The sequence below is a fragment of the Homo sapiens genome, chromosome 1 (genome assembly GCF_000001405.40).
Source record: "Homo sapiens chromosome 1, GRCh38.p14 Primary Assembly".
In the NCBI taxonomy this organism is placed as follows: Eukaryota; Metazoa; Chordata; class Mammalia; order Primates; family Hominidae; genus Homo; species Homo sapiens.
The window spans coordinates 203836142-203859765 of record NC_000001.11 but is presented as its reverse complement, the minus strand read 5'-3'; the positions used below and the strand labels follow the sequence as shown (position 1 = coordinate 203859765).

Genomic DNA, 23624 nt, shown 5'->3' with positions numbered 1-23624 from the left:
GAAACCCCGTCTCTATTAAAAATACAAAAATTAGCTGGGCGTAGTGGTAGGCGCCTGTAGTCCCATCTACTCAGGAGGCTGAGGCAGGAGAATTGCTTGAATCTGGGAGGCAGAGGTTGCAGTGAGCCGAGATCGCGCCACTGCACTCCAGCCTGGGTGACAGAGCAAGACTCTGTCTCAAAGAAAAAAAAAAAAAAATTTCAGCCAGGTGCGCGAGCTCATGCCTGTAATCCCAGCATTTTGAGAAGCAGAAGCAGGAGGCTTGCTCGAACCCAGGAGTTCAAGACCAGCCTGAGCAACATAATGAGACCTTGGCTCTACCAAAAAATTTAAAAATTAGCCGAGCCTGATGGTGCCTGCCTGTAGTCCCAGCTACTCTGGAAGCTGAAGCAGGAGAATCTCTTGAACCCGGGAGGCAGAGGTTGCAGTGAGCAGAGATCATGCCACTGCACTCCAGCCTGAGCAACAGAGCCAGGCCCTGTCAAAAAAAAAAAAAAAAAAAAAAGATTCCCTAGCTGGGTTTTGTGGCATGGCCTGTATTCCCAAGAACTAGGGGAGGCTGACGTAGTAGGACTGCTTGAGCCTAGTTCAAGAGTGCAGTGAGCTGTAATGGCACCTATAAATAGCCACTACACTCCAGCCTGGGCAACATAGTGAGACCCAGTCTTTAAAAAAATCATTCCCCCACCCAAACCCAACAGAGTGTCATGTTGTCTGACTTTAAGACAGCGTGTTTATTTATTTTTCCCCACCGCCCTCCCCCACCTTCTTTTTAGACAGGATCTCCTGATATGGCACAGGCTGACATGCAGTGGTACAATCTCGGCTCACTACAACCTCCCCACCAGGGCTCATGCGATCCTCCCACCTCAGCCTCTGGAATAGCTAGGACCACAGGTGTGCACCACCACACCTGGCTAACTTTTTGTATTTTTAGTAGAGACGGGGTTTTGCTATATTGACCAGGCTGGTCTTGAACTCCCGGCCTCAAGTGATTCTCCTGCCTTGGCCTCCCAAAGTGCTAGGATTACACGTGTTAGCTGAACCTGGCCAGGATTACTTTTTTAAATCCAAGTACATGATGTCTTTTTATTTGTTCAAACTTTCCTTTGAATCTTTCAAAAGTTTTTGGTTGTCTTCATATAGACCTTGTGATTTCTTAAGTTCAACCTTAGCTATTTCATCTCTCTTCTTCTTAAAAATTCTATCTTTTCCTCAATTGTATGCTCTAGCTGGTTTTTAGGGGAAAAAAAGAATGATAAATGCAACTACATAAAAATAAAATTATGCATGACTAAAAAGGGAAACAATAAACAAAGTCAAAACATCTAGGAAAAATATGTTTGCATTACATCTGAAAAATGATTAATTTTACTAATATGTAGAGTTCCTGAAAAAGAATGCTATTCTGGTCTTTACTGATGTGTAAGAAATATTCCAAAACTTAGTAGCTTAAAACAACAACCATTTTGTTATAATTCATGACTTCATGGGTCAGGAATTTGGGCAGGTTCTCAGCTGAGTGATTCTTCTGCTCCACAAGACATATCTACGGCTTTGGTGTGTATCTTTGGAAGACTGGCCTCAGCTGGGTCCCTATCTCTATGTAGTCTCAGCCCTCACCACACGGTTTCTCTAGAAGGGTGGTATGCTTTCTTATATGGGGGATTAGGGGTCTAGGAAACCAAGGTTGAAGCTACCAGCACTTTTTTTTTTTTTTTTTTTTTTGAGACGGAGTCTCATTCTGTCACCAGGCTGGAGTGCAGTGGCACAATCTTGGCTCACTGCAACCTCCGATTCCTGGCTTCAAGCGATTCTCCTGCCTCAGGCTCCCGAGTAGCAGGGATTACAGGCATGTGCCACCACGCCCGGCTAATTTTTGTATTTTTAGTAGAGACAGGGTTTCACCATGTTGGCCAGGATGGTCTTGATCTCCTGACCTCTTGATCCACCTGCCTTGGCCTCCCAAAGTGCTGGGATTACAGGTGTGAACCACTGCGCCCAGCTGCTCTACCAGCACTTTTAAAAGCCAAGCCTGGGCCGGGCACGGTGGCTCACTCTTGTAATCCCAGCACTTTGGGAGGCTGAGGCCAGCGGATTACCTGAGGTCAGGAGTTCAAGACCAGCCTGGCCAACATGGCGAAACCCCATCTCTACTAAAAATACAAAAATTAACTGGGTGTGGTGGCGGGCGCCTGTGATCCCAGCTACTCGGGAGGCTGAGGCAGAATTGCTTGAACCCAGGAGGCGGAGGTTGCAGTGAGTGGAGATCACGCCATTGCGCTCCAGCCTGGGTGACAGAGCAAGACTCCGTCTCAAAACAAAAAAAGACTCAAAATTAAAATTGGCAATGGATGTGAGCATCAGTTTGTAGCAAAGGATATAGGAGTGGTCTTTAAACATGAAAAGATGCCCAGCTTCACTCATAACAGAAAGGCTACATTCAGAATGTCTGTCACAAAAGAAAAAAAAGAAAGGCACACCAAACTACACTGAAGTACTATTTCTCTTATTAGATTGGAAATGAAAAAATAGTGGTACTGTAAATTATTAAGCTCTATTTCTAGGTACTTATCCTCCATACAAACTTACATGTGTGGTATAATGTAATCATCACAACATTGTTTAAAATACCAAGATGGGAAGCAACCTAAATGTCTATCAATAGGGACTATTATAAATTACTGCATCTTCATAGGGTGCAATTCTATGCAACTGTTACTAAGATTAAAGGTCTTTGTGTCCCGATATGAAACGATATCCAATATACATGATGAAAAAAAAAGCAAGGTATACTATGCTTGAGATTTACTTCAAAATAACTCAGTGGAGCCAGCAGGGCCAGATCTCAGATAAGGCAAGGCTAAGGATTGAGCATAATTGTAGGAATCACAATCACATGTGCAAATACAAGCCTTGAAAAGTGAGTGCCTCCTTAAATTGTGCCCAATACCTTGCTTGCCTCACCCTCAGCCCAGTCAAGTAGGTCAGAATAGGGGGTGATGGATAGTTGGTAAGGTAAAGAAGAGAGGATTGGCCATGAATCTGCAATTGTTGAAACTGGGTGACTATGTGGAGTTTATTATACTTTAATTCTAAATACATTTGAAATTTTCTTTAATAAAAACGGCAGGGTTCAGAATGTCATGTGTTTTACGCATGATATTGTATGGAAGTGTATTCACTTACACATGGCTAAAGTATCTCTGGAAGAATACCTGAGACACGGATAATGGAAAGTAATATGAAACATTTGTTTCCTTTTGTTATTGCAACTACTCACAATGTTCTTGTAAAACTTCATGACACACCTAAGATATCTGCAAAGTGGGCTTCAGAATCACTGGCCCAAATGAACATACCCCTGAGAAAGGAGTCTGCCAAACCTCCCAAATATTTCAGAACATTCTTCCTCTCAGCTTGAAGTTTCTTTCATCCCAACCAGAAGCTTCACAACTTGCTGAATGGCTGTGATTATTCTTTACCATGCCATAGATTCAGACTCTACAACATTTTAGCAGTTAAATCCAACCAAATCTAAATACCTTAGTAACAGACCCTCTCAGTAAATATAAATCCAAAAAAAATTTTTTTGAGATGGAGTCTTGCCCTGTTGCTCAGGCTGGAGTGCAGTGGTGATTGATCTCGGCTCACTGTAACCTCCGCCTTCCAGGTTCACACAATTCTCCTGCCTCAGCCTCCCAAGTAGCTGGGATTATAGGTGCATGCCACCCCGCCTGGCTAATTTTTTTGTACTTTCAGTAAAGATGGGGTTTTGCCATGTTGGCCAGGCTGGTCTCAAACTTCTGACCTCAGATGATCCACCCACCTCGGCCTCCCAAAGTGCTGGGATTACAGGCGTGAGCCACCGTGCCCAGCCAAAATTACTTTTTTTAAATGTAAAACTAAATTCTTGATTGCTGTTCTTATTTACGGTCATTACTTATTTTTTGCCCACTTTATTGAACAAACTTAAGAGAATGGTCAAGGATTTTAATTGTGTTCATGCCCCTTAACTAATATCTTTTTGCAAATTCAAAATAAATTGCGGTTTGGAGTCTTAATTATTAATGCAGTTAAATGTCTGGGTTGTAGGAATTTTCAGAGTTACTGAGCAGCTTCATAAAGTCATGATTTTAAAAAACACTCTTGAAAAGATCTACTAATCAAACCCAATGGCACATAATATATAAACATACTGACCCTGAAACTTCAGTGCGGGAATAGTCATCTTTAATGTACTGTATAATTTAGTGTCAAAATGAGGACGTGAATTAAAGATACACAATAAGTACTCAATAAATGTTAGCTAATTTAAGTTTTACCTATTAAGCAGTTACAACTGGAGACCATGTATTTCCTGTGCTACAGCCAAATTCAAAGCAATCAAATACTTTACAGAACTGCAGAACTGTTGGCTGGGCGTGGTGGCTCACAACCTGTAATCCCAGCACTTTGGAAGGCCGAGGAAGGCCTATCACTTGAGGTCAGGGGTTCCAGACCAGCCTGGCCAACATGGTGAAATCCTGTCTCTACTAAAAATATAAAAATTAGCCAGGTGTGGTGGTGCACCCCTGTAATCCCAACTACTGAGGAGGCTGAGGCAGGAGAATCGCTTGAAACTGGGAGGCAAGAGTTGCAGTGAGCCAAGATTGTGCCACTCTGCATTCTATCCTGGGCAACAGAGTGAGACTCTGTCTTAAAAAAAACACCCTGCAGAATTATTCTGGCAAAATAAAGCCACCATTTTAGAAAAGGATCATGGAACTCTGATCAATATATTAATAGATCAAGCTTTGTTACTGCAATTGTAATTAGTAAACATCAGTCTCATCTTTCAAATACTGATCAAGATGAAAACACACTATGTTCTAGCTTTAAAGAAGAACCACTGAGATTTAGGGTTAAGGCTAGAACTTTAGGAATTATTATCTTGAGATAAAATATATGAAACATAAAACTATCTTATTTCTGGCTATAACCAAACTGGAATATTTGGGCCCTTTTCTTACTGTTAAAATGAAAAACTATCATTCAAAACTATAGTCTTTTGCTTTTTGTGAAAAGTTGATTCAACTTGTTGGGACGACTTTTAGACTAATAGGAAAAATCTATGTTCTTTGGTAGCTAACAAACATATACTTTCCTACAATTTTAAAAATTGGCACACATATTAAGAAACCTGGACTTCTATAAATTAAATTTCTTATCTGCTGCACCTTCATGCTTGAAAATTCTAAATCGTTGACTCTAAAGATCAAGTTTATTCATTTATTTATTTTTTATCAGCCTCTTGAGCCAGAGTAGGCCCAGAGAGACTCCCTAAGATCACTTTTAAACCCTCCCTCCTTTTAAAAACTTAATGGCATTGCTTGAGTTACAACACTAAGGAGTAAGTATCCGTGTCAGAAAAAAAATCCTCACATTATAATAATATAAATTCTTACCTAAAGCATATGCAGCTAAAATTGAGCACACTTGTAAATTTGGCAATATATCCAGATGAAAGGTTTCTAAGCCAAATAATAACTGAAATTCGGGCACTTACACGAAAGGCCAATAGCATTCTGTCTGGGGTCTCTTGTCAAGATGGATCCCAGGCTGATATGATGATGTAAGATTACTTAGCTCACAACATCAAGACTTTCCTACATCAGTTTTATTTAAAACACAAACAAGTATTTCTCTTTCTGTAAGGGCAAATGGTTCAAATAATGCGGAACACGAAACATTGACTAATACAAGTGCTTTAAATATGAAACAAAATTATTTTTTAAAAAAGCAAAAGAATAAAGAATATATACAAAAGGGACCTGGAATCTGTAAGCTGATTCCAAAAACGAAATAAGTAGAAAATCCATGGTGAAACCTGAACATTCTACCTCTGCTTTGGAGAAGGGCTATCATACAACATTCAGTCAGCTGAAGATGGATTGGTAGAGGTGTGTCTATACATAAACTTCAGTCATTTTTGCTTGTGCAGAATCATCCCAATCTTCCCAAGACTGAATGGGCAGTCCTGTGGCTTTCTTCCTTTTCCATATTCCCAACAAGGCTACGTGAAGTTCAACTCTTGATGAGCCGCTTACAACAGCAGTTCCTTAGGAGCCAACATGACAGGTGGGTCAGATTTCCCTATGAGAAACAAAACTGGCCACCTACAGCAAAATATCAAAATGGGTAAGTCCTTCCTTCCTCTTCCTCCTGATTATATACAACATATCTCCTTTCAAGACTATTATTTCCATCATGCTTATTCCTTCACAAATCTAAACCTTGAGGTGATATGAAGGAAACCAACATCAAGAAAAGAAAACTCAATTCAGAAATGAAGAAAACTGGCAGGTATACAATACACCCCCAGAGCATCTCAATATCCCTGGCACAGTACAATTCAGTGTACTGCTACAGCCCATAGATAAATATTGGCAGCTTGAATAAGCTCATTTTTTCCCTCAGGTGGTTAAAGGCCACCAAACAAATACTGGGCAACAGGGGTTTGTTGGGAGAGTTAGAAATAAAAAATTAACCAAATTTTGTCCCTGTGTTAATTCAATGCCAGCAAGGAGGCAAGTACTGAAGAAGAAAAAGGACAATTTTCATACTAAAAAAGAATTCCTCTAATCATGTCACCATCTCATATAATGAATCCAGGGAATCCCAGAAATAGAAAATTAGTTTCAGGGGACCCCTGAGGCACTTTAAAGCCTTTTAAAAAATTACAGTAATAATAAATTAGATATTGCTCTTCAGAGGCTAACAGAGCAGCAGAAGCATCAAGATCAGGTCCAAAGAGTTATGCCCACATTACAGGCTTCCTGAGCTGCTCAGCCCTCTTTAAAGCTTAGTTGAATCTTTAAATACCTTTAAAAAGACATACAATTTAACACAGACTGAGTGGGTATTTTTGTTTAGTGGTAGCATAAAATTTGGTCCTTAATGGTAGCAGCTGTCTTCATCCATTTCAAACTCAGGTAATATTAAGTACATCAAGACAATACATAAAGAATACAACAAAGAAGAAAAAAGCCAAAACTGACAAACACCTCAAGGAGTCACTAAGTTCGCTTGCACCCTTTCACTTGATCTCCCTCTCAGTCTCTTTTTTGTGGAGAGAAGGGTATGACAGAACTTTTTTCTCAAAAGATGATAAACAATGGCATCAAATGGACAAAATGGTTATAAAGTAACTTTAAAAATCTGACCCCAAGGAATCCAGGACACATACAGATAATTCAGAGGTATACTTCTGATTTGGGGCAAATTCTAGACTAAAGAAATGATCATCTCAGGTAAATGTTACAATAGATGAAACTAAGTCCAGTTTTTTGGCGATTTTTTTTTTAAAGTGTCCTCACTACCACCTTCAGCTATCAATCATTTCTGATAGCTCAAGCAGAAGGTCATCTTCATCTTTCCCAGGATCCAGGTCAATCTCAGCTTCCAATTTGCCTCCTGAAATCTCCCATATTAGTTTCTCAAAATCATCCTCCACAGAGAGTGGGGGCTTTCCTGTTGAGGCAGAGCTGAGTCGGCGAGTTTTCATGCTCATTTGGGATGAGGAAGGGCCAGACACCTCCGGGGGTGAGGAATCTGAAGAGGACTGGGTTGGAGGCAGCACAAGACTGTAAGAAAAAAAAGATTATTAGAAAACTGCCGTTTTAAAAATAGTTGGCTGAATCACCTAGTCTCACGGACACAAAGTGAGCAAAAATTTGTTTTTAAGAACATACATAAAGAAATAATTCTTTTACTGATTTGGGATCAAGCTTTTTTTTTTTTTTTTTTTTTTTTTTTGAGGCAGAGTCTCCCTTTGTCACCCAGGCTGGAGTGTAGTGGTACAATCATGGCTCACTGCAGCCTCGACCTCCTGGGCTCAAGCGATCATTTTGCCTCCGCCTCCCAAGTAGCTGGGTCTACAGGTGTGTGTCACCATGTGATTTTTTTTTTATTTCTTTGATTTTTATTAGAGACAAGACCTCACTATGTTGTCCAGGCTGGTCTTGAACTCCTGAGCTCAAGTGATTCTCCAGCCCCAGTCTCCCAAAATGTTGGGATTACAGGCATAAGCCGCCTTGCCTGGCCAGCACCAAGCATTTTTATAACTCAAAGTAGGTGTTAAAGACATCTTTCAGGGGCCGGGCATGGTAGCTCATGCCTGTAATCCCAGCACTTTGGGAAGACGAGGAAGGTGGATCACTTGACGTCAGGAGTTTGAGACCACCCTGGACAATGTGGCAAAACCCTGTCACTACTAAAAATACAAAAATTAGCTAGGCCTTGTGGCAGGCACCTGTAATCCCAGCTACTTGGGAAGCTGAGGCAGGAGAATTGCTTGAACCCGGGAAGTGGAGGTTGCAGTGAGCAGAGATTGTGCCACTGCACTCCAGTCTGGGTGACACAGTGAGACGCTGCCTCAAACAAAAAAACAAAAAAACATCTTTTAGGTAATATAGCAAAATGTAAACAATGGCACCAAAGAAGAACAGCAACCCTAGATTTTCATACTTTCTTGCAATTAATTTGAAGTGCAACAGATTTATTTGAATGTTGCTAAAGTTATTTATCAGTGTTATTCTCTAGAGAGCCTAAACAGTAACAGGGGCCTGGAGTTTGTTTAGAAAGAATTACAAAGTATTACCTGTCTCTAGGATTTTCTGCTTCAGGCACAGTGACTGATTTGTCCTCAGAGACAAGCGGGACAACAGCCTACAAAAGGAAGAGTCAGGTAATTCAGTGAGAGTCAGGCTTTTTAATTTGAGCATATTCATTTTCTTTTGCTGCCTTCTTAGAATTGTGGCTATGATTCTTTAAGCCTGTGAATCTAAGAATCGATAATCTAAAGGTTGAGTATATAAATAAGCAAAATATCTTGCCACCTAAAAATTAGCTTTTAAAAAATCCTGTCCTGCTACTTCACAAATATCAAACTGTAAGTATAAAATACAGTAGTAACCCAAATTACTAAAATGCTAGGAAATGCCAGGAAGTGATATACTCAAGATAGAATGCTAGTGGAGAGTTAGTCTTTCCTGCTTTCCTACCACACAGAATAAAGCACCACAAAGTGAATATACTTCTTACCACAGCTGCCTTTTTGGCTGGGGGTTCCTGTAGGACACTGCTGGAGCTGAGTGGCTTCACAGCGGCAATGACAGCAGCGTGCATCTCCACTGCCTTACGTTTTGGGGCCAATTTGGGGGATGACACAACTTTAACCACAGATGGCTTCACGTTCACTTTGGGTTTAGCTACAAAGGGCAGAAAATATCTGATAAGCAGTGAGAATAGACTCTTTTAAATGGGGAATAATTCAGAATAAAATATCAAAACTCCTTCAGTACTAGAAATACCACAAATAATTCATTTAAAAAGAGACTGAAAACGATTCAAAGGCAATTTGTGGTCACATGGTGGTCACTACAGGTGGTCACCATGTAGATACAATACCACTTAAATTTGTTACCATTCCTCTATTCCTTGTTTTTATTCAATACCAGAGGAAAGATGCACCATAGAAAGTTTTACACAAAGCTTTTTAAATAGCAATTTTAAATTCTGAGAAAAGAATTCATCTCGTTTTGCCTCTGTATAAAAATATCAGAAATATTACTATCTACCTGTGGATAGAAGGCAAATGAAATTCAACCCAATTGTTGCCAGGAAGTTACTGGCAACAATTGGGTTGAATTTGGTAATTTTGATAACCTAAAGCAATACACAGTATAGAAATACTTGCCTTTACCCCTTTTTTCCAAGGTCTGTGCTGCACATTTCACATTCAATAATGAGTCTCCAATCCCTGAGGTTTCTACCTCCACCTTCTGGGATGACTTTGTGGGAAGCCGCTTGGTCAGGTGCCGTGTGATTCCTGGCACAGCAGTGAGCACTGGTTTCTCTGCCACTTGGGTATTGCAAGAGGCTACATCTCCCCGAAGAGGTGTCAAGACTGATTTTTCCCTCTCCTGCTGTTTCTGCATGTGCTTCTCTCTCATGGTCTCACATCTCTTGACTTGAATTTTAGTGATGTCAACTCCTGTGGTCTCACCTGAAGCCTGTGGATAAATTTGAATGACAGAATTAAAATCTGGTACCTCTAATAACCTGTATGATGTAAGTACCAGGCTAACATCTAAGTTAAGCAGAATCTCACATGATCCAGAATCTGAGAGAAAAGCTCTTTATTTGATGTTAAATAGACAATACCCTGTTAAAGATGAAAGATTAGAATTACAGATGTATGGAATAATAAAAAACCCAGATTCCACAGGCTAGACAACCATGACTCTAAGTCAAATACTAATGATTCCTAAATAATCAAATACCTGCACAAAGATTTATGTACAAATATATTACTTTAAATTGTGTAAAACAAAATCTGAATGTCCAGAAAAAGACTGTATTTGTATAATGGAGAATCATGTGGTCAGTAAAAACAAACTTCTTGAAGAATTATTAACATGGTAAAGTTAAAGCAGGCTGTAAAATGATACACTGTAGAGTTCTCCATTATGTTCTAAACATGGGTTTAACATTAAACAAATTCACATGCATGCATATATAAACAAAAAGGTCGAAGAAGGCCAAGTGTGGTGGCTCACACATGTAATCCCAACACGTTGGGAGGCCAAGGCAGGCAGATCACTTGAAGCCAGAAGTTCGAGACCACTCTGGACAACATGGAGAAACTCTGTCTCTACTAAAAATACAAAAATTAGTCAGGCTTGGTGGTGCATGCCTTTGATCCCAGCTACATGGGAGGCTGAGGCACAAGAATCGCTTGAACCCAGGAGGCAAAGGTTGCAGTGAACCGAGATCATGCCACTGCACTCCAGCCTGGGCAACAGAGCAAGACTGAAAAAGCTCGAAGAAATCCATGGAAAAGATAATGATGGTTACATCTGAGCTGTATATTTTTAGGGTTTGTTCAGTTTTAAAAAAAATAAAATTTCCAACTTTTGTATGATGCATAGCATTAGAAAAAACTCAGTTAAAAAAAAGTAATGGCCAATTAAACAAAAAACTTTATTTTTTGTATTTTTAGTAGAGACGGGGTTTCACCGTGTTAGCCAGGACGGTCTCAATCTCCTGACCTCGTGATCCGCCCGCCTCAGCCTCCCAAAGTGCTGGGATTACAGGCGTGAGCCACCGCGCCCGGCAAACAAAAAACTTTAAAAGGGCAGCGAATACTGATATACATAGAACTACAGGAAATTCTCATAAGAAATTATAAGTAAAAAGAAAGACTGTTTACCTAATATATGAATGAAGTACTTAGAAATTTATTGTAAGGTAAAACTACCAATTATCTAGCCTTTGTTTGCCATGAACAAAACCATACAATAATCTTAAATTTACCTCTTTAGCTTCTGTTCTAATACTGCTCTGAGAATCAACTTCATTTCCTTCCTGAAGGTTCTTCTCTTCTTTCATCCCTGTATTCACATTAAAGACATCATTAGTTATTTTATTTAAGCTGCAACTTCATGATAGATATGTTAAACAAAACTTTATTTAATGAAAGTAGTAAGACAGGACAAATAAAATTACAGATAAAGCCCATCTGTGCTCCTAAAGTCTCAAAATACACATTAAAATAGCAAAGGTTGGCCGGGCATGGTGGCTCACACCTGTAACCCCAGCACTTTGGGAGACTGAAGCAAGCAGATCACACTTGAGGTGAGGAGTTTGAGACCAGCCTGGCCAACATGCTGAAACCCCATCTCTATTAAAAATACAAAAATTAGCGGGGTGTGGTGGCACATGTCTGTAGCCCCAGCTACTTGGGAGGCTGAGGCAGGAGAATCACTTGAACCTAGGAGGTGGAGGCTACAGTGAGCCAAGGTCATGCCACTGCACTGCAGCCTGGGTGACAGAGTGAGACTCTGTCTCAAAAATAAAATAAAACAAAATAGCATAGGTCTACATAGCACTACTGAAAAACTTCATTTAATTCAGTGTTTTCAACGTTATCTGAGTAAAGAAAGGTTGTCAAACAACTCCTAGGAAGATCCCACGGAACACTCCTCTGGAATATTATGTGGGGACGTGGTACTAGAGACCAAGTTCTCTTGTTACCTGTTCTTTTGGTGATTCGCAGCAGCCGCCTTGCCCCTGGAGTGGCCTCGTGTTGAGACGGGGAGCTGGTGCTGCTCTCAGAGCTCTGCTGCACCCTCAGTGCCTTCTCCAGTTTAATTTCTTCCAGCGTCTTGATGTGCACCTCCTGCATAGACTTTGTTTTACCTGCAGGCTCCTCTGATTGTCCTCTGCTGGCAACAATGGGTGGCAAAACTACTGTTTTTTTAATTTCACTATCAATCTTTAGCTTGATGCAAGTTGTATCCTTTTTGCTTTTTTGTCTCTCTGCTTCCTGCTGCCGATGTTTTTTTTCAGCCAGGACCTCAGAGAAGGTTTTGATACGGATAGTGGAGGAGCTTCTTGCTCCTGAAGTAGAATCATCAGTTTTTGAAGGTCCTTCTGTCTTGAGTTTAGTTTGCAATTCTCCACGTTTCTGACTGGCTCTTTCAAGAAGAATTTCTTCTAATGTCTTCACATGGATCTCACCAACTTTATTAACTTTATCTGTTTTCACAGGAGAAAAACATGTCATTATACTTGAAGTTCATCTCTTACTGACTTATGATCTCTCTATTCTTGGATCAAGACAGTCCAACAGAGAGCTATCATTTAAGCAGGCAATTAAAAGGATCAAAAGGGTAACATTTATTTCTTTTCCTTTTTTTCTTTTTCTTTTTTTTTTTAAGACAGAGTCTCACTCTGTTACCCAGGCTGGAGTGCAGTGGTATAATCTCAGCTCACTGCAACCTCTGCCTCCCAGGGTTCAAGTGATTCTCCTGCCTCAGCCTCCCAAGTAGCTGGGACTACAGGTACCCACCACCAAGCCCGGCTAATTGTTTCTATTTCAATTTTAGATTACTGCAAGTTCCAGGCAGTGGTCCTCAAGGAAAACTCTTTGGAGGCAAAAATTGATTTGTATTTCTATTCAGAAGCTTATTCTTCAGAAACTGAAAGCCATTTACTAGTTGGATAAATTTGTCATTATAAATCTTAACAAAAATAGCAATAAATTCTTCATTAACTTATGGCTATAAACATGTAATGAACACTGGGCTAGAAATACAATGGTAAGCAAAATAAAATCTCTGTCCACATGTAATTTACAGTCTAACAGATCAATAATTAAACTAGCTATAGCAGAGTATGGTAATGATAACTGCTTTGATAAGGTAGGTATAATGCTATAAAAGGACACAGCAGGAACACCTACACTTGTCTACAAGGAAATGATATTAAATTTAAAGGATAAAAAGAAGGTAAAACAGGTGACAAGATAGAAGAAAAATGCAGAAGGCCCAGAAATTGGCATGCCACTGAAGAGCTATTTTCAATGATACATTAATCGTTCTATATCTGTCTAAACTGAAGACCAAATGTCACACTTCACAGATAGAACCATTCTCATTACTGAAGGGCTAAGAAAATAAATAATGAAAAGAGATAGTGCTATGAAATAAATGATAATTTGGAGATCATACACATATATATGTAATCACTGAATAACAGCTTTTAATGAACCCCCCCCCCAAAAAAATTATATCTTTTCAAAATCTTTTTTTTTTTTTTTTTTTTGGTAAAGACGAGGTCTTGTTATGTGGCCCAGGCTGGTCTCCAAACTCCTGGCTTCAAGTGATCCTTCTGCCTCAGCCAATCAAAGTGCTGGGATTACAGGTGTGAGCCACCATACCCAGTCTGAAATCTTAAAATATACTGTGTTCTGTCTCACTTTCCAAACTCCTGAGTATACTATTCCCTCTACTTGGAGTATTCCGTGCTGTTCTCATTTCTCTTGCTACCTGTGTTTTTTGTTTGCTTGTTTTTTGAGACAGAGTTTTGCTCTGTTGCCCAGGCTGGAGTGTGCAGTGGTGTCATCTTGACTCACCGCAACCTACATCTCCTGGGTTCAAGTGATTCTCTGCCTCAGCCTCCCAAGTAGCTGGGCCTACAGGTGCCCACGACCACGCCTGGCTAATTTTTGTATTTTTTGTAGAGACAGGGTTTTGCCATGTTGGCCAGGCTGGTCTCAAAACTCCTGGTCTCAAGAGATTTACCTGCCTGGCCTCCCAAAGTGCTGGGATTACAGGCGTGAGCCACCACGCCAGGCCTGGTTAGTTTCAACTGAATTCAGCTTAAAACCTGATACCCTCCAATTTAGTTTTTCTGATCAAAGCACTGAACACTCAGTACACTGTAATTGCATCTTCAACCACACTAAAGACTTCATGAGAACAACGACTGTATTTAGGTACCTGTAATATTGCAAAGGAAGCACTCACTTACTGAATTAGTTCTTCAAGTTCTTTAATAAAAAATCACAAATTCTTTCAATCCAAGGTGGCAAACATTTCAAAATTACCACTCCAAGAAAGTACAACATGAATGGTGACATAGAGGCCCTGTTTCCCTCCCCTACCAAAATTTCATTGAAATGATAAAACATTAAAAATAAAATAAATCCACACCAGCAATGAGAAATAAGGATGTCACTGGCAGAGCATACATCTTGAAGAATTTCTAAAACAGAAAGCAGATGTCTGAATTTACAGAAAAATGGAAAAATAATAGTTAAAACCATAGGCGTGAGTTCTGTTCCTCCCAATACAGTCAAAGGAAACTGTCAAACTTGGGTTAACTAATATTAAAAGCAACGGTGGGATCTGACATAACCATTAGGGTAGAAATTTAAGGACTGCCTATAGAACAGTTGGGCCAGTCATGACCTCCTCCTGAGAACTGCTCCCTAAAAAGAGGCAAGTTTGCCCACGAAGAGCACATTATGAAGATGTTGGGGCTGGAGAGAAGTAGAGCATGAAAATCCCAAGCTTTCACAATACCAAGCAGAAAAAGGGGAGGGAGGAGGGATAAAAGTAAACAGCAAATCTGAAAAAGGAAAGAAGTTGTTTCCACTCAGAAAATAAAGTCTTACTGTGGCAATTGTATGAGCCCCCAGACCTCCCATCTTCAGTCCATACAAGCTGCCTGTTAGTACACCCTCTCCACTTAGCCAGACATAAATGGAGTCTCCCAGTCAGGAGAGAGGACAACTTGGGGAAAGGGTCTTTAAAATGAAAGGAAACCCAAGCCAGGTACTTACAACTATGGAAAAACAACAATATTTAAGATAAACCAAAATAAATAAAAAGAAGTGGTTAAGAAGCCAAAATAATACACAAACTTTTAAAAATAAAAATAAAGATTTGAATTAGAAATCCCAGAGCAGGCCAGGCGCAGTGACTCACACCTGTAATCCCAGCACTTTGGGAGGCCAAGGCAGGCAGATCACTTGAGGTGAGGCAGATCAGGAGTTGGAGACTAGCCTGGCCAACAGGGTGAAACCCCGTCTCTACTAAAAATACAAGTTAGCCAGGCGTGATTGCACATGCCTGTAATCCCATTTACTCGGGAGGCTGAGACAGGAGAATCGCTTTAACCTGGGAGGCAGAGGTTGCAGTGAGCTGAGATCACGCCACTGCACTCCAGCCTGGATGAGAGTGAGACTCTGTCTCAAACAAAAATAAAAATAAAAAATAAAGGCGGGCACAGTGGCTCACGCCTGTAATCCCAGCACTTTGGGAGGCCAAAGTGGGCAGATCATCTGAGGTCGGGAGTTCGAGACCAGCCTGACCAACATGGAGAAGCCCCGTTTCTACTAAAAATACAAAATTAGCCGGGCGTGGTAGCGCATGCCTGTAATCCCAGCTACTCGGAAGGGTGAGGCAGGAGAATCACTTGAACCTGGGAGGCAGAGGTTGCAGTGAGCCGAGATCGCACCATTGCACTCCAGACTGGGCAACAAGAGCGAAACTCCATCTCAAAAAAAAAGAAGAAATCCCAGGCCGAGAATAAAGAAAAAAAAATAAGAGAACAAAGAAAGTTCTTGAAAAATAAAAACACCAAGTGCCAAAATAAATTCATATGAAGGACTGGATAATAAAGATAAGGCTGGCCCCAAATCAGCCATTTAAAAAGGCATAGGCAAACTATATATAGCCCATATGGCCACCACCTAATTTTGTAAATGAAGTTTTGCTAGAACACACCAGCAGTCATTCATTTACATATTGCATACATATGCATATGGCTGCTTTCATTCTACAATGGCAGAGTGGGGTAGCTGCAATACTGTGGACTGCAAAGTTATTTATATCCGACCCTTTACAGGAAAAAAATTGTCAATTCCTTGTCTAAAAAATAAAGTTGAACAAAGCTCACAGAAGGTTAGCCAAAAACAAAGAAACAAAAAGTATACAGAGACATGCAGGCATATGTCCCAAAGTTCCAACATCTATCTAATACAAATTTCACAAGGAGAAAACAAAAAGAAATGTGGGGCAGTCATACTCAAAAGAAATTAATGTTTTCTAGAGCTAAAGACAAATCTTTAGATTCAAGGGCCCACTGAATCAGTATTTATGTATTTACTGAATCAGTATTTATGATAAATACTGATTATCATAAATACTGATTTAGCAGAATGAACAAAAATGATCCATGTTTGATCCACAACAGTGAACCTGCAGCATACTAGGGAGAGATAAAACCCTAGAAATCTCTGAATAATTCAGGTTGCATACAACAGAATAAGAATGTCCAACATCGGACTCCCTTTTTATGATGCTAATATAACTTTAACATCCAAATGAGATAAGGATGGGGGATAAAAAGTAACCTAAGGTGGCTAACAGCATTCATAAATAGAGATGTAAAAATATAAAATTTTTAAAAGCCTCAAACTGAATTCAGCAAGGTATTAAAAAAAAAAAGACGGAAGGCTGAATACATGGATGTTCATTTTATTATTCCTTAAACTGTACATATATATACTTATGTAGTTATATTTCATAATTTAAAAAATTTAAAAATTATAACACAGAAAGAATATAAAGAAAACCTCAATACCCAGATGACACCAATTTTATTTATATTCTCGTGTATTTTTGAAGATTTTTTTAAAGGTATATGTTTATATCTTTACAAAATTAGAATAATCTCATACATATGCATGTTTCTCCTGAGAATAAGTTTCTATAATAAGAAAATAAACTTAAAAAAAAAAAAAAAAGATTCCCCCTCCCCCTCCCCCTCTCCCCGGTCTCCCTCTGATGCCACCAAAGTTGTGAAAGCCAAGGCTGGACTGTACTGCTGCCATCTCGGCTCACTGCAACCTCCCTGCCTGATTCTCCTGCCTCAGCCTGCAGAGTGCCTGGGATTGCAGGCGCGCGCCGCCACACTTGACTGGTGTTTGCATGTTTTGGTGGAGACGGGGTTTCGCCGTGTTGGCCGGGCTGGTCTCCAGCTCCTGACCGCGAGTGATCTGCCTGCCTCAGCCTCCCGAGGTGCCGGGATTGCAGACGGAGTCTCGCTCACTCAGTGCTCAATGTTGCCCAGGCTGGAGTGCAGTGGCGTGATCTCGGCTTGCTACAACCTCCACCTCCCAGCCGCCTGCCTTGCCTCCCAAAGTGCTGAGATTGCAGCCTCTGCCCGGCCGCCACCCCGTCTGGGAAGTGAGGAGCGTCTCTGCCTGGCCGCCCATCGTCTGGGATGTGAGGAGCCCTTCCGCCCAGCCGCCCAGTCTGGGAAGTGAGGAGCGCCTCTTCCCAGCCGCCATCCCGTCTAGGAAGTGAGGAGTGTCTCTGCCCGGCCGCCCATCGTCTGAGATGTGGGGAGCGCCTCTGCCCTGCCGCCCCGTCTGGGATGTGAGGAGCCCCTCTGCCCAGCCGCGGCCCCGTCTGGGAACTGAGGAGTGTCTCTGCCCGACCGCCACCCCATCTGGGAGGTGAGGAGCGTCTCTGCCCGGCCGCCCCGTCTGAGAAGTGAGGAGCCCCTCCGCCCGGCAGCCGCCCCGTCTGCGAAGTGAGGAGCCCCTCCGCCCGGCAGCCGCCCCGTCCGGGAGGGAGGTGGGGGGCGCCTCCACCCGGCCACTGCCCCGTCTGGGAGGTGGGGGGCGCCTCTGCCCGGCCGCCCTATCTGGGAAGTGAGGAGCCCCTCTGCCCAGCCACCACCCCGTCTGGGAGGTGTACCCAACAGCTCATTGAGAACGGGCCATGATGACAAAGGCGGTTTTGTCGAATAGAAAACGGGGAAATGTGGGGAAAAGAAAGAGAGATCAGATTGTTACTGTGTCTGTGTAGAAAGAAGTAGACATGGGAGACTCCATTTTGTTCTGTACTAAGAAAAATTCTTCTGCCTTGGGATGCTGTTAATCTATAACTTTACTCCCAACCCCGTGCTCTCTGAAACATGTGCTGTGTCCACACAGGGTTAAATTGATTAAGGGCGGTGCAAGATGTGCTTTGTTAAACAGATGCTTGAAGGCAGCATGCTCGTTAAGAGTCATCACCACTCCCTAATCTCAAGTACCCAGGGACACAAACACTGCAGAAGGCCGCAGGGTCCTCTGTCTAGGAAAACCACAGACCCTTGTTCACATGTTTATCTGCTGACCTTCCCTCCACTGTTGTCCTATGACCCTGCCAATCCCCCTCTCCGAGAAACACCCAAGAATGATCAATAAATACTAAAAAAAAAAATAAAAAAAAAAAAAAGATTCTTATGTTGCCCTAAATCAGGAGGTCAAAAGTGGTATGTGCTCTCTGTTATCTTTCTTCACTTGATACAATGCAAGTTGATTTTTCCATATCGTTGTTCAGCATTTGACTTTTCATGACAGCAATTATTTTAGCACATAACTATCATAATTTTATCTAAACCCTTTTTATTGTATATTTAAGTTGTTTCTAATTTCCTACTATTTAGCCGGGTGCGGTGGCTCGTGCCTGTAATCCCAGGATTTTGGGAGGCTGAGGCAGGTGGATCACCTAAGGTCAGGAGTTTGAGACCAGCCTGACCAACATGGTGAAACCCCGTCTCTACTAAAAATACAAATATTAGCAAGGCATGGTGGCGTACGCCTGTAATTCTAGCTACTCGGTAGGCTGAGGCAGGGGAATTGCTTGAACCCAGGAGGTGGAGGTTGCAGTGAGCTGAGACCTTGCCATTTAACTCCAGCCTGGGCAACAAGAGCAAAACTCTGTCTCAAAAATAAATAAAATAAATAAATAAATAAATAAATAAATAAATAATTTCCTACTATTAATGCTATGATGAACAATCATTTTACCATCTCTAAGCACAAAAAAGGAATTGATCCCAGTTGAGTCTGAGCTGACTTGATCAATTACTTAAAAAACAAACAGAACTACAAAAGAACAAAAATCAAAAGCCCTAGCAAGCAACAGGTAAATCTGAGAAAAAGCAAAGGCTCTTACAGCAAAGAAAAAAATAATCAGAATCTGGTCTTAGGATTTACTTACCTGTTGCATCCTCATTATCTGGATCAGCTGACATGCCTAATCGCTCCTTAAGAGACTTGGAAACTTGAGCTGTGAAAAGAAAGATTTTCAAAAATCAAAAGTTGAACAGAAACTTTTTACAGCTTAAATACAGGTTTGCTGGGCATGGTGGCATACACCTGTAATCCCAGAACTTTGGGAGGCCAAGGCAGGCTGATCACTTGAGGTCAGGACTTCAAGGCCAGCCTGGCCAACATGGTGAAACCCCATCTCTACTAAAATTGCAAAAATTAGCTGGGCGCAGTGGCTCACGCTTGTAATCCCAGCACTTTGGGAGGCTGAGGTGGGTGGATCACTTGAGGTCAGGAGTTCAAGACCAGCCTGGCCAACATGGTGAAACCCCATCTCTACTAAAAACACAAAAATTAGCCGGGTGTGGTGGCACATGCCTGTAATCTCAGATACTCTGGAGGCTGAGACAGGAGAATCGTTTGAACCCGGGAGGTGGAGGTTGGGGTGAGCTGAGATAGCGCTACTGCACTCCAGTCTGGGTGACAGAGTGAGACTCTGTCTCAAAAAACAAAAATACCAAAAGAAACAAAGAAAAACGTACTTTATATCTGAAAAGCAAAAACTACTGAATTAAAGGAAATAATTTTGTTATTGTAGAGCCTTCTAAAACCTTACTGTCATTGAAATAATTTTTCCTCCAAGTAAATTTAAAATATGCTCCTTAGTTATGAAAATCTTCAACATGGTCAATACACAAGGAGGAAAACAATGTGGCAAAGAAAGTAACTTTTGCTTGCTCTGAGAATGCAAGAAAACCTCCAAACAGGAACGTCTACTCATCAAAGTCCCTTGGGCAAGGGGAAAAATTAAAAGAAGTTTCTTATTTCAAAGAAAGTTAAAACCAAACACAATGAGAAGGAAAAAAACACCTATTCTTTAATAATTTAACGCCAGTGTTTCACTGCAAGTCATACAAGCAGAAAAAACATAAATCTAACCTTGGCTTTTTGCTCTCCTTCAACTATAAAGAATTCTAATTCCCTGAGGGGCGCAATAGTGCATTCCTGTACTTCCAGCTACTTGGGAGGCTGAAGAAGGATGGCTTGAGGCCAGAAATTTGAATCCAGCCTAGGCAACACTGTGAAACCTTGTCTTTAAACAAACAAAACAAAACAAAAATCTAACTCCCAGCTATCTCTTGATTTAGTCCACGTCTCCAAATCAACTTCCAAAATACCAAATCTATGCCACTACCTCGTCTTATCTAGATTATTTTAACAGCCTGCCAACTCATCTCCACGCCAGCATGCTTGCCCCCTTCTAATCTGTCTCCATATTGCAGGCAAGGTAATGGTTTTAAAATGCACATTTGAGCCTGTGATCCTTGTTTATAACCTTTCTTTCTTTCTTTTTTTTTTTTTTTTTTTTTGAGATGAAGTCTCACTCGGTCACCCAGGCTGGAGTGCAGTGGTGACTGATCTTGGCTCACTGTAACCTCCGCCTTCCAGGTTCACACAATTCTCCTGCCTCAGCCTCCCAAGTAGCTGGGATTATAGGTGCGTGCCACCCTGCCCAGCTAATTTTTTTGTATTTTTAGTAAAGATGGGGTTTTGCCATGTTGGCCAGACTGGTCTCAAACATCTGACCTCAGGTGATCCACCCACCTCGGCCTCCCAAAGTACTGGGATTACAGGCATGACCTACCGTGCCCGGCCTGTTTATAACCTTTCAATGGGTTGTTACTATCTTAGAATAAGTCCAAACTTTCTAACATGGCTTAAAGACTATATTATGATCTAGTCACCACACTCTTCAGCCCATTTCTATGTTTCAGCCATATGCAGTTCCTTGAGCATACCACTCTTAGCTCTGCCTTTGCAGGAGTTATTCTCTCTGCCTGAGACACAGTCTCTGGCTCTCGAACTTCACCTGGCTAATTTCTAACTCATGTCTTAGGTCTAAACTTTAACATAACTTCTTCTGTGAACCTTCCCCTAACAGATGGTAATAATAGATGCCTCTCCTATGTGTTACCATAACACTGTGTACTTTTCTCTGTTACAAAATTTATCGCATTTATAAGTATTCCTACCTGCCATTTATACTATAAGCTCCTGAGGAGTGTGACGGTGTTTTTTTCAATGGTGTCTACCCAGAATCTAGCAGACTAAGGATCAAATGTTTGTTGAGTGAATAATATAACAAATACAAGATAACCTATTTACCTGAACAAAAGAATGAAAAACCATAGCTGTTAGCATTACAAGACACAAGTGTCATAATTACATACACACACAAAGTATGTAAGAACACAGGTACCTTTCTTTGGTGTTTTGTCAATGTTAGTTTCTGGAGCTTCAACTTTCTTCCCTAGCCTCTGTGCCAGGCTACGCTTTAATGGAGGATCACTGTCACCGCCTATAAAGAGGGAGAACTTAGTTTAAGATTTCAAGTCAATCTTCAGCAAGGACAAGAAATACAAACAAAAACAGACAACATAGCATAATTCTGTTAAGTGTTCTGCATACATATGGCGTGTTTGTTCACCAGCTTCCTTAGAGTTCAATGTTAGAAACATAAAAATGTCGGAGAAAAGAGGTAAGGAAGGCAAGGTGCAGTGGCTCAGGCCTGTAATCTCAGCACTTTGGGAGGTCAAGGCAGGAGGATCACTTAAGGCCAGGAGTTCGAGACCAGCCTGGGCAACACAGCAAGACCTTGTCTCTAAAACAATTAAAATAAAAAATAGTCAGGCATGGTGGCACACACCTGTGGTCCCAGCTACTTAGGAGGCTGAAGCAGAAGGATCACTTGAGCCCAGGAGGTAGAAAGGCTACAGTGAGCTATGATCATAATACTGAGCTATGATCATAATACTACACTCCTGCCTGGGCGATACAGCAAGGCCCCATTCTCAAGAAAAAAAAAAAAAGAGAGACAAGGGAAAGAACAAAAAATTAGAATACACAAACATTTACCAAATAAATTAACTGACAAACCTACAAATGAAAGGTCATAAACCCTGGTTGAGATTAAAGTTCAGAATTAGAAATGTGAAAAATCTTCATGTACAAAAGAACCCTTTTTTTTTTTTTTGAGACAGGATCTCACTCTGTCACCCAGGCTGGAGTGCAGTGGTGCAATCTCAGCTCACTGCAACCTCCACCTCCTAGGCTCAAGCGATCCTCCCACCTCAGCCTCCCAAGTAGCTGGACTATAGGCACATGCCATGCCTGGTTAATTTTTGTATTTTTAGTAGAGACAAGGGTTTGCCATGTTGCCCAGGCTGGTCTTGAACTCCTGAGCTCAGGTGATCTGCCCACTTCAGCCTCCAAATGCTAGGATTACAGCACTATGCCAGGCCCCCCCAAAAATCTTAACTGGTCAGCTGCTGAATTAAGTAAATGCATACAGGATGAGGAAGACAGGTTAAGAATTATTAAATTTTAAGTTTTTTAGTATGAAGACTTTAAGAGCCACATAACCCCTCTCTCTCCAATTCTAGAAAAGAAATCTAAGGTTCTGAAATATTCTGTATCTTACCCAAGTCATCAACTAGTTAGTGATACAGCCAAGACCTAAATCAAGTTTCCTAATTCTAGCTGCTTTCTGAGACGGAGTCTCATTCTTTCGCCCAGGCTGGAGTGCAGTGGGAAGATCTCAGCTCACTGCCACCTCCACCTCCCGGGTTCAAGCGATTCTCCTACCTCAGCCTCCCGAGTAGCTGGAATTACAGGCGCATGCCACCATGCCTGGCTGATTTTTGTATTTTTAGTAGACTTTTTTGTAGTAGAGATGTTTGTATTTTTAGTAGTTTCACCATGTTGATCAGGCCGGTCTCGAACTCCTGACCTTGTGATCCACCTGCCTCAGCCTCTCAAAGTGCTGGGATTACAGGCGTAAGCTACCGCGCCCAGCCTTCTAGTTTTATTACACTGTTCAATACAAGTTGTTTAAAAGTCACCAGTTTTTAAAAACGGTTTTTTAGATTACTTGACTGAAGTTACATTGTTTGCAAGGTATCAAAGCTTCAAAAGACCCTACACAGAGTATGATTGTTTCTCTCCCCTCATTTATAATTTAAATATAAAACCATCACAAAGTTTACAGGTATGCTGATGTTAAAACAGCTCATTTCTATATTTTAAGAACTTTTAATTATTATTTTTAGAGACAGGGTCTTGCTATGTTGCCCAGACTGGACTCAAACTCCTGGACTCAAGGGATCCTCTAACCTCAGCTGCC

The 23624-nt window shown here is 41.2% G+C and overlaps 2 protein-coding genes across 44 annotated transcripts in view, besides 2 other annotated features; both read right to left on the bottom strand.

Moving 5' to 3' along the window:
• ZBED6 (zinc finger BED-type containing 6) overlaps nucleotides 5642-23624 on the bottom strand; it is a 58502-nt gene continuing 40519 nt past the window's right edge. Inside the window, exons 10-17 of the mRNA NM_001395895.1 lie at nucleotides 21702-21800; nucleotides 19392-19460; nucleotides 12079-12582; nucleotides 11359-11435; nucleotides 9740-10055; nucleotides 9085-9251; nucleotides 8642-8709; nucleotides 5642-7625 (exon numbers count right to left, since the gene is read on the bottom strand). The gene's annotated coding sequence lies outside the window, so the exon portion shown is untranslated. The remainder of the gene's footprint in view (nucleotides 7626-8641; nucleotides 8710-9084; nucleotides 9252-9739; nucleotides 10056-11358; nucleotides 11436-12078; nucleotides 12583-19391; nucleotides 19461-21701; nucleotides 21801-23624) is intronic.
• The window catches only part of ZC3H11A (zinc finger CCCH-type containing 11A), a 58502-nt gene continuing 40519 nt past the window's right edge, over nucleotides 5642-23624 (bottom strand). For 39 of the 43 annotated variants that reach the window (NM_001319238.2, NM_001376338.1, NM_001376358.1 and 36 more), the window contains 8 exons: nucleotides 21702-21800; nucleotides 19392-19460; nucleotides 12079-12582; nucleotides 11359-11435; nucleotides 9740-10055; nucleotides 9085-9251; nucleotides 8642-8709; nucleotides 5642-7625 (listed from right to left, as the gene is read on the bottom strand). In NM_001319238.2, coding sequence (NP_001306167.1) covers nucleotides 7367-7625; nucleotides 8642-8709; nucleotides 9085-9251; nucleotides 9740-10055; nucleotides 11359-11435; nucleotides 12079-12582; nucleotides 19392-19460; nucleotides 21702-21800 — 1559 coding nt within the window. In that variant the 3' untranslated portion in view covers nucleotides 5642-7366. The remainder of the gene's footprint in view (nucleotides 7626-8641; nucleotides 8710-9084; nucleotides 9252-9739; nucleotides 10056-11358; nucleotides 11436-12078; nucleotides 12583-19391; nucleotides 19461-21701; nucleotides 21801-23624) is intronic. The other 4 variants (NM_001376367.1, NM_001376366.1, NM_001350265.2 and 1 more) reach the window with 1 other exon arrangement.
• Nucleotides 17724-18224: an enhancer, noted in NCBI's record as "H3K27ac hESC enhancer chr1:203810670-203811170 (GRCh37/hg19 assembly coordinates)". NCBI's record gives its function as "activates a minimal SCP1, AML or CMV promoter by ChIP-STARR-seq in primed H9 embryonic stem cells {active_cell/tissue: H9 hESC(primed)}" and the evidence as "EXISTENCE:reporter gene assay evidence [ECO:0000049][PMID:30033119]".
• Nucleotides 18239-18439: a silencer, noted in NCBI's record as "peak661 fragment used in MPRA reporter construct". NCBI's record gives its function as "represses an SCP1 promoter by STARR-seq MPRAs in K562 erythroleukemia cells {active_cell/tissue: K562}" and the evidence as "EXISTENCE:reporter gene assay evidence [ECO:0000049][PMID:32103011]".